We start from the raw sequence: 12,222 nt of genomic DNA on the forward strand, positions 1-12,222 counted from the left end.
TGTTTAAAACGCAACAAACAATATTACATATTTCTGTACTCTATTTACACACACATGTATGTATAGAAAAATAATTGAAGAGTACCTACCAACTGACAATCTTGGTTATGATTGTGGAGCCAAAGAAGGCAAACTGACTTGAGTGTGGTTGTCAAAGGGGATTTTACTTTTATTTGAGAGACCAGTTAAGTTCATAAACCATGGCAGCTAGACTACTTGGGTTTAAATCCTGGCTCTGCGGCTTATTGGCTGAGTGACTTTGGGCAAAATACTTAACCTCTCTGAATCTGTTTCTTCTCCTCTAGAAGAAGGACGATAATAATGCCATTGTTAAATTAATTTTAGCTTAAGGCTGCCTCCTTACATATTTTAAGTTTGTCCTAAAGGTTTCTCCATACATAGTGAACTACAACCTTCCTGGATGTGTAAACAGAGTGTAACCTACTCTTGTACCAATCACTGTGTTTCAACCAAAGGTAGCCAACTGTTCAAACTGTGTGCAAATAAGGCAAATGCCAAGCTGTAACCAATCCAGCTGTTTCTGTACCTCACGTGTGTTTTCTGTACATCTCTTTCCTTTTTCTGTCCATAAATATTATCTGACGATGTTGCACCCCCCAGAGTTGCTCTGAACCTATTCTGCCTCCAGGGACTATGTTCTTTGCTCAGTTATACTCTGCTAAATTTCATTTAAGTTTTTAATTAAACAAGTATTTGTTGTTTATCTGAAATTCAAGTTGAACTGAGTGTCCTATATTTTAATTTGGCAAAATCTAATCCTGGCAATGGAAAGGCCCTGAAGGAATTTGAGGCAGAGGAATAACGTAATCTAAGATTTAATAAATACGTTTATTTATAAAATTAAAACTATGGGTTACTATAAATGAGTTTAGAGGATTTTGAGGCATATAAATAAGTTCCAGGAGCATTTCGAGAAATTCATGATGCAAGGTCTCCATCTAACAAGTAGAGCAGTTGGTGCAGATGAGATGAGCCTGATCGCCAACCAGCCTGGAGGAACCATGAGCTCTCTCTGCACTCCTTGTCTTCGCCTTTGCATGGTTCTTTACCGGTTATCCAGGCCTATCATGCCCAGTATTTCCTTCCATCCTGACCACATCCCTGCGTGGGAAGTAGGTCACATCAATGGTAAATATGCTGTCGTTATGCAGATGTAGAAACCGAGGCTCAGAGAGGTGAAGTGACTTACCCAAGGTCACACAGGGAGGCGGCACAGGACCAAGGTTACAACTCAGGTCTCTGCAACTCCAAAGCTCTTTCCCTTCTCCCTCACTGCTCTCGGTTCTTAAGGCATCCAGCCTGTAGTCTATCCATGCCGGAGGCTTGCAGGCAGGTCTGGGTGTGGGGACGCAAGAAGGATCCCCTAGGGGCAGCTGCTGGCCTTGGTGCCTGTCGTGTCTTCGCTGGAGCCGGGCGTGCAGGTGGCGGACCCTCCTCGCCTCCTGGGCTGTGAAGAAGGAAGCGGCGATGGCATGCCGCAGGCGGCGGGCGTAGGCCTCCAGGAGCACCGTGGAGCCCGCCAGGAGCTGCAGGGCCCCCGCGGCCAGCGGGGCAGCTGCGCGGGGACGCCGGGCGGGTAGCAGTGGGCAGCGGGCGGAGGTGAGGCGGAGCTCCCATTGGTAGGAGCTGTGGACGGAGAGGAAGGGGCTCTCCGGAGCCAGCTGGTTGAAGAGGAAAGGGATGAAGCCCAGGACAGTGTATGCCACCTTGGGAAAGGAGAAAAAGGCAGGGTCAACTGAGGGCCTCTCTGGCCACTCCCCACCTCTAGGAGAGGCTTGTCCAGCTTTCCCTGCCTTCATCTGCAAAATGGTTACAGAAATAACCCGTTTCCCAGGGTTTGAGGAGGACCCAATGAGACTAGGAGTCTGAAACAGGTTCTTTTGCCAAATAAAAATCACCATACAAATGTTACTAAGGTTAGTATCTTTGAGCAGAATATTTTAGAGAAAACAAATTGTCTATGGATGTTTGCTCCTTGCTGAGTCCTTACTGAATACTTTAGATGTCCTATTCCATCCAATATACACAATTCTATGGGTCGAGCCCAGGAGGAGCCTAATTTAAAAGATGGGAAGTGGCCAGGCGCAGTGGCTCACGCCTGTAATCCCAGCATTCTGGGAGGCCGAGGCGGGTGGATCACTTGAAGTCAGGAGTTCGAGACCAGCTTGGCTAACACGGTGAAATCCCGTCTCTACTAAAAATACAAAAAATTAGCTGGGTGTGTTGGCACGTGCCTGTAATCCCAGCTTCTCAGGAGGCTGAGGCAGGAGAATAGCTTGAGCCCGAGAGGGGAGGGTGCAGTGAGATTACACCACTGCACTCCAGACTGGGCAACACAGCAAGACTCTGTCTCAAAAAAAAAAAAAAGATGGGAAGCCCAAAGCCACACATGGGTTACATGTTGCCAACTCAGGGATCAGTCTCAGCCAAGGTGGGTCCCTATGTCCTGCTTATAAGCACTGGGCCCTGCAGTTTCCATAGGTATGTCCAGGTGAGGAAGAATGGTATCTAGAGAGGCAGGGAAGAAAGAAGTTCACCATTTGAACTTTGGAACCAACCTGGGTTGGATTCTGCACTAACCCAGGTGCAGAAGGATAGCTTGCCACACCCCAAATGGTTCAAATGAATGCAGGAGAAACTCCCAAAGCTTTCAGAAAAGATGAAATAATGTGAAAGCAATGAGTGGGCCTGTACAATTTATGCTTTCCCAGAGGATCAGAGAGTGCCAGCCTCAAAACTTGCTGAGTGAGGGCCCGCAGCTTGCAAGAAAATGCTGGAAACAATGGTGGGGCATCACCGGGGCTCTGGAAGGCACAGAGAATGATATTGGAGGAAAAGCCTCAGAGACTGACTCCTCGGCCAGAGTCATTCAGAAAAGTCAGATTGAATGTTTTAGGAAAACCATCAGATTACTTCCCCTCCCTCCCTTCCTTCCTTCCTCCCTTCCTTCCTTCGTCCCTCCCTCTCTCTCTCATTCCTTCCTTTTTTCTTTCTTCCTTCCTTCCTTTCTTTTTCTTTCTTTCTTTCTTTCTTTCCTTCTTTCTTTTCTTTCTCTCTTTCTCTTTCTTTCTCTCTTTCTCTTTCCTTTCTTTCTTTCTTTCTTTCTTTCTTCGTTTCTTCCTTTTTTTTTTTTTGGAGTCTTGCTGGCTCAGGTTGGAGTGCAGTGGAGCAATCTCAATTCACTGCAAACTTTGCCTCCCAGGTTCAAGCGATTATCTCACCTCAGCCTCCTGAGTAGCTGGGATTACAGGCACACACCACCATGCCTGGCTAATTTTTGTATTTTCAGTAGAGATGGGGTTTCACCATGTTGTTGGCCAGGCTGGTCTTGAACTCCTGACCTCAGGTGATCCACCCACCTCGGCCTCCCAAAGTGCTGGGATTATAGATAGGCATGAGCCTCCATGCCCAGCCCCCTATTTTTCTTTTTATGTATACGCGAGAAAGATATGGCAAAATAAACCTATGTTAAATAATAAGTGAACTATTTTATACAAATACAATAAAAATTCTAAATGATAAGAAAGCATTGTGTCAAGGTTGAATTGGTAGCATTTTCTGCCCTAAGGATACATAAAGTAATGGTGTGACTTGCAATTGATGACTATCTGAGATTTGGTGAAAATGAGTAAATCAGGGAACATGCTTAGAACATTGCCTGACACATTTCTTTACTGTGACCTATGGTAAGAAATGCATTTTACAGGCCAGGCATGGTGGCTTATGCCTGTAATCCCAACACTTTGGGAGGCTGAGGTGAGAGGAATGCTTGAGCCCAGGAGTCTGAGACCAGCCTGAGCCACATAGTGGGACACCATCTCTAAAAAAAATATTAAAAATTAACTGGGTGGTGGTGGTGCATGCCTGTAGTCTCAGCTACTTGGAAGGCAGAGGTAGGTGAAGTGGGAGGCTCGTTTGAGCCAGGAGGTCAAGGTTACAGTGAGCTGTGATTGCACCACTGCACCACTGCATTCTGGCATGGGCAACAGAGTGAAACCCTGTCTCAAAAAAGGAAAGAAAAGAAATGCATTTTACAGTACCTTCAAAGCAGAGATTGTTTTGTAATTGAAGAAAATATTCAAAAACCATACACTCCCTTATTGCCTAAGATGTAATCTTATAATTTTCCAGTTGATTCTATTTCATTAAAAACACTATTTATGACTCCTTAAATTGATTAAATTGATTTTGTGCAGTCTGAAAAGCACTTTCTTAATATGTAATAAGTACTTGATAAATATAAACTGTTAATATTATTAGCTCGAAGTTTGACACTTTGATATGTTTTATGCAATGGACTTTTGTGTGAGACCTCACTACTAAAAATTAAAAATAAAAAGATCCGTGGCAAAAGAAAGGATCGAAAAACACAACTCTTGATCTGATAGTAATATATCCGATTATAAGTCGATAGTAAATATTTTCTATATCACTATTAAAATAGCAAATATTTCAGGCTTTGCAGGACATACAGTCTCTGTTGCAATTACTCAACTTTGCCTTTGTAGGGCAGCCACAGACAATATATTGACAAATGGCATGGCTGTGTTCTAAAAAAGCTTTATTTACAAAACCAAGAAGCCATTGGATTTGTCCTGAAGGCTATAGTTGGATGCCTCCTGATCAAGGCCATTCCAAAGTCCTCCTCCAGTCTGACATAGACAGATGTAAGCTATTAATAATAGCCACTCTTTATTAAATAATCTCTTATGTGCCATGGAGCTTACTAGGTACTTTAAGACAATACCACATTGTAAGACACAATAGCCTTTTAGGATTAGGAGGATCGATTCAATTTGTACAAATGTGGAAAATGAGGCTAGGACAAGCTGCCACTTGTGAAGGGTGACCTTGGATGCAAGTTATTTTAAGGTGTCTGGGTTTCAGCATCCTCAACTGCAATAGGAAGTGAAAATAGAAACCACTTCCTAGAGCTGTTGTGGGTATCCGATGAGTCCCTCTGCCCATGGTATGGGGCCCCATGGATGATTCAAGGGCTGTTTCTTGGAGGCAAGTCAAATTTCATCACAAGTCAAGGGTTTAACAGATTCTCCCCCTGCCCTCAAAACAATGACTCCCTTCCCTTTTCCCATCATCACACTTACATCATACTTGACCGTGAGCGTGATGGGCACAGTTGGCAACTTCTGAGCCCAGTCCACAGTAGCCTGTGCCAGGAGGAAGGCTACATGGTCTGTGGCCACCGCCACAGCCGTGGCCACGAGGAGCAGGGCAAGCAGCCCCAGCCTTAGAAGACAACTCAACAGCTCCTCCTGTGACAGCCTCAGCTGAGCCGCCTGGAGCAGCCAGGTGGGTGGAGGGGCCAGGAGGTGTGTAGCCTGGGCCTGTGCCAACCGCTGGGTCAGCTGTTGAGTGGCGTAGATATTGTCAAACCGCAGGTCTGTCAGGTAGCAATGGAGGTACCATGCCGACTCCACCAGGAGGCCCAACATAAACAGCCCTGTGACCACTCGCTGGGTCCCTAGCGCTGCTGCCCGGGCCAGGGACTCCAGGCCAGAGAAATCCTCCAGGACCTGCTGAGTGACCCTGAGCATGTGAAGGTAGAAGGCAGAGCCATTGTCCTGGGCCTCAAATGTCAGGCCCCGGCTGCCTGCCTGGCCTGTGGGGCCCAGAGCCCTGGATGCTGCATGCAGCTGGTGAGTGGTATTGAGGAGACTCTCCAGGGAGCCCTCGGTGACACACCTCAGCACCTGCCCGGCCGCACCCACGTTGGCCAGGACGTTGGGCACCACAGCAATGGCCAGGGTGGCAGTGCTGTAGGACAGGAGCAGCCGGCGGCCCTGCTCCATACCCAGGGTGGGCACGCTGAGTGCAAACAGGCAGCGGACTGGGGGTACCAGGCCCAGGCTCAGGAAGACCAGGAGGCCACAGACAGTGGCAACCATGGCTGAAGGTCCAGGAGGATAAAGCAGCAAGGATGCCAGCCAGTGATAAACCAGACCTGCAGCAGCAGCAGCCAGGGAGGCACACAGGAGGAGCTGGGTCAGCAGCTGGCCACAGCTGGCTGGAACAGGCTGGGAGAAGGCGTCCCAGGCAGCCTGCAGTGGGGCAAGGGCCTTCCAGAACCCCAAGTGCCAGGACCTCCACCTGCACACAAGGAAATTGAAGGGCATCTCTATCAGGAGGTGGGTGGGTGGGTGTCTGTCCACTGCCCCTGCCCCACATACCCATCACCAGGCTCTGCTAACAGACTCCACCCTTGTAGTTACCCAGGTGGACCAATCAGAGTAAGTCACTGTATACCCACGTGACACAAGCTGAACCAATCAGAGCCTTCCCCAGGATTACTCTCGCTGGAACTGTCAGGGAAGAGCCCAATTCCCATGCAGTACCTGAGGATGTGAGGATGAAAGTCTGCCCTGTTTGAGTCCATTATTACAGTTTTGTGAAGGCAACTGGCCCAAGAGAATGAAAGAGTCATGGAGCGAGAAGCACAGGTGAAAGAGAGAGAATGAGTAAGAGGAGAGAGAAGAAGAGAAACGATTTCACTTGAATTAATAGTCTTGGTGGCTTGCTGTATGATTCTGGACCTTCTATTCTTTCTGAACTTCAGGGTCTCCTCTATAATTTAGGGGTGAGGAGGGTGAACTAGTTGGCCTGTGAGGGACTTTTATATTCTATCATCCTTATATTTATTCATTCAACAAGTGTTTATCAAGCAACGACTTTGTGTTAACCATTGGAGAAACAGGAATGAAAAAAACAGAAGTCCCTACCTTCGTGGGGCTTGCACTATGTTAAGAGCGATGGCAGAGGAGTAGTAAGGAAAGCTTGGATTCTGAACACATTTTGTTGGCAGAGTCAACAAGATTTGCAGAGGCTGATTGGTTGTGGGGTGTGAGAGAAAGAGGGGAGTCAAGGATGACGAGGTGCTTTTGTGTCTGAGCAACTGGAAGCACCAAGGTGTCATTTCCTGAGATGAGAACTCTGTGGTCAAAACAGGTTTGAGTGGAGGGGGAGAGAGGAGGAATTCAGTTCAGAACTCTTAAATTTGAGATTCAGTTGAGCCATTCCGTGGAGCTTTTGACGACGTGGTTGGAAATAGAAGTCAGGAATTCAGAGGGGAGGTCAGGCTGGAGTTATAACATTGGGAGTCTGATTATTAGATGTCTCCCAACTTTATATCCCTACCTAAAGCCATGTGCACCATGAGATTCCTCAAGAGAGTGTGTCACTGGGGAGGAAAGACATCCAAGGACATGCCTCAAGGCGCTCCAAGGTTAGGGGCTCTTAGATAAGGAGGAACCAGCAAAAGAGACTGAGAAACCAATGTGGTGCTTAGGAAGCCAAATAAACAAAATGTTTCAAGGAGAAAGGAGTGATCAAGTACGTCAAATGCAGCCAACAGGTCAAGAATGATGAGGACTGAGCAATGCCTATTAGCCGCTTAGAGGTCACTGTTGACCTTGGCAGGGAGAGTTCGGTGGCTTTTGGGGCCAAAATCCAACTAGACTGGGTCCAGGAGAGACGGGAAGGAGAAGAATAGGAAACACAGATACAGACAACTCTTTCCGGTAATTTCTACACTAAAACAGCAGGGAGATGAAGCAGTGGCTGGTAGCTATGGGAAATTGGACCAAGAGAATTCATGTAAAGGGAGGAAATCTATAGCATGTTTGCAGGTGGGAGATCTCATCGAGAGGGGAGACATTGACAAAGGGGAGACTCCCTGGAGTGACACCTGTAGGGGTGGAGGCAGAGAGTGAGACTGAGAACATGCAAGGTGGGGCTGGTCTTAGAATAGAGCAGGGGTCGTTCATCCTTAATAGCAGGTGGGAAAGCAGAGGAAATAGGTACAGATGATGGCGAATGAACAGGCAGCGTGTATGCACCTGTGAAAAGTATCCTCTGATATACGCAGAGCAGAGTAATGTTAAGGGCATGACCTCTGGACTGCCTGGGCTCAAATTTCTGCTCCACCACTTGCCAGCTATGTGAACTTGGGTACATATCACAACCTTTCTGTGTCTCAGCTGTCTCATCTGTAAAATGGTGCAATAAAAGTATGCACCTCCTGGGGTCACTTTGTTTCTGGCACATGGTAAGTATCACATCAGCTATTACCTACCACTAGAGTCAACTCCACCGGAGCAGGGACTTTGTCCGTTTTGGTCACTGATATGTCCCAAGTGCCTACAATAGTGTCTGCCATGTTGTGAGTGCTCCAAAACTATTCATTAAGAGTAGCATGACCGATTGCTTCTGTTTGCTCAGGTTGGCAGGAAGCAAGGTCAGCAGAGAAGGTAAGATGCTGGCGGAGGTGATGGATGCTTGAAGAGGAAGAAGAAAGTACAAAATGGTTGCCCAGGAAAGTGGGAGAACAAACGAACTGGGGCAATAACATATGTGCTGGGCAACACTGAGGCCCACTTGAGGTTGGAGATCATACATTATCTTAAGTGAGAGCAGGCAGAAAGGTTATACGGGAATATGGTTATAAAGGGCAGGGAGGGTGGTGGGGAGGCTGTCACTGTGTTGGTTACAGGCAAAGCTGCTGACTTGCTCCACCATCAACAGCTTGAAGGATAAGCATGTGACTGGGTCTAGTTGATCCAAGTACCTCTGATCCCCTGGCCACCGTGACTGGTGCAGGGATTGCACCTGACCGGAGATGGACCAATAGAGCTTTCCTCAGGATTTTGCTGCAACGACAAAAAAACTGCCCTTTGTTGCCTTGAGAGCTAAGCTGGTAGGAAGATGCCTCAAGCCTTGGGGACCACCATGTAGTATGAGTCGGCCTGGGATGAAGGCAACACAAGGAAAACAGTGTTAGGAAACAGACAGAGAGTCCCAGTGGCCTTGTTGGAGGACCTGGATCCAGAAATGCCTGAAGCCGAAATCTATGCCGGACCACACACTAGGAGATGTCTGTTTTTCTACAGGCAGTGTAAGATCAATCTGTCACTTGCAACTCAATGAGTCCTGACTAATACAGAAACCTTTGTCACAGGGCTTCTGGGACAATAAAATGAAATAATCCATGTAAAGAAGTTTACACAGGGTCTGGCACAGAAGAGGGATCCTATAAAACTGCACCACTTGTTACTCTGATGATACTTATGTCAACGATGTAAATGTTTCACTCGAGTCTCCTCTGTGCCCAGGCTCTGTGCTGACCCCTGTGGACACAAAGATGAATTAAGTCCTGGTCCCACTAAAGGAGTTCACAGTCTAATTGAGGAGACTTAAATAGACCATTAGAGTTTAAGTTCATTAACAAAGAATTCTGAGCATAGTATGCCTGGGCCTGGACTGGGGTGGGATAGATGGAGAGTGACCCAGTTTTACCTGGGAGTCAGGAAGGCTCCCTGGAAGAGGTGACATTCCAGCTGGGGGTGGAAGGACAAGTGTCAGTTTGTGGGTGAAGAAGGGAGTTGGACATCCCTGACAGAAGGAACAGCGTGTGCAAAGGTCCTGTGCTCTGACCATCGGGAAATAGGGAGTTGGGAGAACCAGAACAGTGGGAAGCTGAGATGCAGTGAGGCCTGTGGGGCTGGAGTGAAGGTCACAACCTTGAAGCCCTAAAGGCTGAATCATATGCAAATGTGCCTTATTGTGGCCCACTCTGTGTGTGTGTGTGTGTGTGTAAGCTGCCCCCATTTGGAAATAAGGAAGTTTCACATTAAAATCTGGGTTTCCAGCTTTTCTTGAGAGATAAGAAGATCTGGGTTAGAGCTCCCACCTTTGCAACAGGTAGCTGGAGCTGAGTATCCACTACCCACCTTTGACAGGGGAGCAGCCCTGCAGACTGCATCCTGCTGATCAATGAACGGGTCCGTCTGCACACCCAGGTGGCCTTCCACAGGTGCAACCCCTTCCCAGCTCCCGAAGGCATTTGAATTTGGGACTAAACACCCCCTTCTACTATATAATTAATATTTGGAACACAGTAGCTTTTGGAATAATAGCTAATAATAAAAACAATTTTAAGGATTGAAAGCCAGTCCTAAGTCATATTGGATGACAATTCCTGCACGGGGTATTGAAAATGGCAAGGAAACTAGCTGCTGTTTAGTGAGTGCTTCCTCTGAGCCAAGCAGGTGCCAAGTACTAAGCATGTGTTTTCTCATTCAATTCTGGCAACAGTCTTGTAGATGTCATTATTACTTCCATTTCACAGATGGGGAACTGAGGCTCACAGAGAACTGAGGATTTGCCTAAGGTCACATAGCCAAGGAATGGCAGAGCTGAAGATTTGGGTTCATATCCATCACCCCCAATGGCTGACTGTTTTCTCACCTGTAGCCCTCAGTGTCCAAAGTCCCCAGACCTACCCGGTCTTGACAAGTTGCTCAGCTGCTCCTGGGTGGCCTGGCATGCTGTCCAAATGGCAGTGGTTTCAGGCGGGCGGTCGCTGGCAGCTGTGGCAGGTGGAGAGGAAGTGGGGGAATCGCTGGGACTTGGGAATCCCTGCCACTTCTGCTTTTCCACTCTTTAATGAAGCTCTCCTGGCTGCCTTGTCCCGCCCTTTTCGGGGCCCACCTCCCAGAGGGTTGGGCAAGCTGCCTCATCCTCTGCCCACAAGCAAGAGCGGGTGGAAGGTGTGGGAAGAGGAAAAGACAGCCTTTTCCAAGCGATGTCTCTAATCTTGGTAGCAGGAAGGTAGAATTAGCCCCATTTTACAGAGAAGGAAACTGAGGCACAGAGAAACCATACAGCTTCCCTTTCCCTCCCACTCCATAGTTGTGTGCCCCAAGGGGAGCCTGATCCCTGCTCTTGGGACTCACAGGTGATAATCAGACCCCTGCCAAGTACTGGGAGCAGTGGCTCTGGTCTCCTTCCCCAGCCCCCTTCCTGTCTTTAGCCTGACTTGTACCTCGCTTCAAATCTCAGCTCTGTCCCTCCCTAGCTATGAGACCTTGGGCAGGTGACCTCATATCTCTCTGCTGGTTTTCTCCCCTTAAAAAAAGTTTAATGAGGCTGGGCACAGTGGCTCACATCTGTAATCCCAGCACTCTGGGAGGCTGAGGGGGGTGGATCACCTGAGGTCAGGAGTTTGAGATCAGCCTGACCAACATGGTGAAACCCTGTCTCTACTAAAAATACAAAAATTATCTGGTTTGTGGTGGTGCATACCTGTAGTTCCAGATACTCGGGAGGCTGAGGCAGGAGAATCACTTGAACCTAGGAGACAAGGTTGCAGTGAGCTGAGATCACGTCACTGCACTCCAGCCTGGGCACAGAGCGAGACTCCGTCTCAAAAAAAAATAGTTAATGAAAATAACAGTTAACATTTATTGAGCACTTACTATGTATCAGGCATTCTTCTAAACAATTTCTCTTCAAATTCACTGAACACTTACTTTGAACATCCCTTTATGGTAAAGATGTTATTTTCATTCTTCAGCTCAGAAAACTGAGACTCAGAGAGCTACGTCGCCAACCACGCCACTCAGCTATTAATGGTACTGCCGTGATTTCTAACCAGCGGGCTGGCTTCAGGGTATACCAGTTAGCCACTGGGCTCTGCTGCTGTGGAGGGGATAATTCACAGACCTCGTGATTACTTCATAGTACAGCTGGTACTGCAAATAGTAGGTACTCAATAATGTAAATTCCCCACGCACACCCTCTGCAGTTAGTGCCCTGCAGGTCTGCTTTCAGGCTGTCCTGAAAGCCAGTTCCTACCTGGAATGCAGACACCTCTCCAGCATCTCTGTACCCCATCACTCCCAGCAGGCCTCCCCTGAGCCCCCCAGGCTCCCCCTCTGTGGGATGGACCAGTAGGGGCACAGCCACTTTCCCTTATAAGGACATGTTGCCTGGGTCACTCTCAGGCCTGAAGGGGAATGTCCTGCGGCCTGGATAGGGGAAGTGACGTTCTTATAGTTACACAGCGATTGAATGGAATACCTGTGGCCAGAACCCTCAGAGGGCCTAACACACTTCCCAGACAGTGCACCCCTGCAGGATGTTAGGCCAGCTACCAGGTCTGCAAAGAACTAAGTACATGAGGCAGACTAGCAGCAGCAAACTTGTGTACCCACAGGGGCCACGCTGCTTAGCTCATGAACAAAGCAGGATGAATGCAAATAGCAGTGAGCTACAAAGTGTAGCCCCCCCCACTCCCTCCTGTCTGGTCAGCTGTTATTCATCTCCAGTTGAGGGTCAAAGCCCCTTGAAAACGAGGCCCACCATGACCAGATTTTCCAGCTTTTCTAAAGACGCCAGTCATTCTCT

General features: G+C 47.9%; 1 protein-coding gene across 1 annotated transcript, besides 2 other annotated features; it reads right to left on the reverse strand.

Annotated features, from left to right (window-relative positions):
- Positions 1-745: 745 nt before the first annotated feature.
- Positions 746-10,454, reverse strand: OCSTAMP (osteoclast stimulatory transmembrane protein). The gene is made up of 3 exons (NM_080721.3): positions 10,317-10,454; positions 5,127-6,129; positions 746-1,727 (listed from the first exon to the last, which is right to left on the reverse strand). The coding sequence occupies exons 1-3, from the start codon at positions 10,358-10,360 to the stop codon at positions 1,074-1,076; spliced, it is 1,701 nt and encodes a 566-aa protein (NP_542452.1). The 5' UTR covers positions 10,361-10,454; the 3' UTR covers positions 746-1,073.
- Positions 4,760-5,611: an enhancer, noted in NCBI's record as "H3K4me1 hESC enhancer chr20:45173599-45174450 (GRCh37/hg19 assembly coordinates)". NCBI's record gives its function as "activates a minimal SCP1, AML or CMV promoter by ChIP-STARR-seq in primed H9 embryonic stem cells {active_cell/tissue: H9 hESC(primed)}" and the evidence as "EXISTENCE:reporter gene assay evidence [ECO:0000049][PMID:30033119]".
- Positions 4,818-4,887: an enhancer, noted in NCBI's record as "active region_17975". NCBI's record gives its function as "activates an Ori minimal core promoter by ATAC-STARR-seq in GM12878 lymphoblastoid cells {active_cell/tissue: GM12878}" and the evidence as "EXISTENCE:reporter gene assay evidence [ECO:0000049][PMID:35858748]".
- Positions 10,455-12,222: the final 1,768 nt, after the last annotated feature.

This window comes from Homo sapiens, chromosome 20, assembly GCF_000001405.40.
Source record: "Homo sapiens chromosome 20, GRCh38.p14 Primary Assembly".
Taxonomy (NCBI): domain Eukaryota; kingdom Metazoa; phylum Chordata; class Mammalia; order Primates; family Hominidae; genus Homo; species Homo sapiens.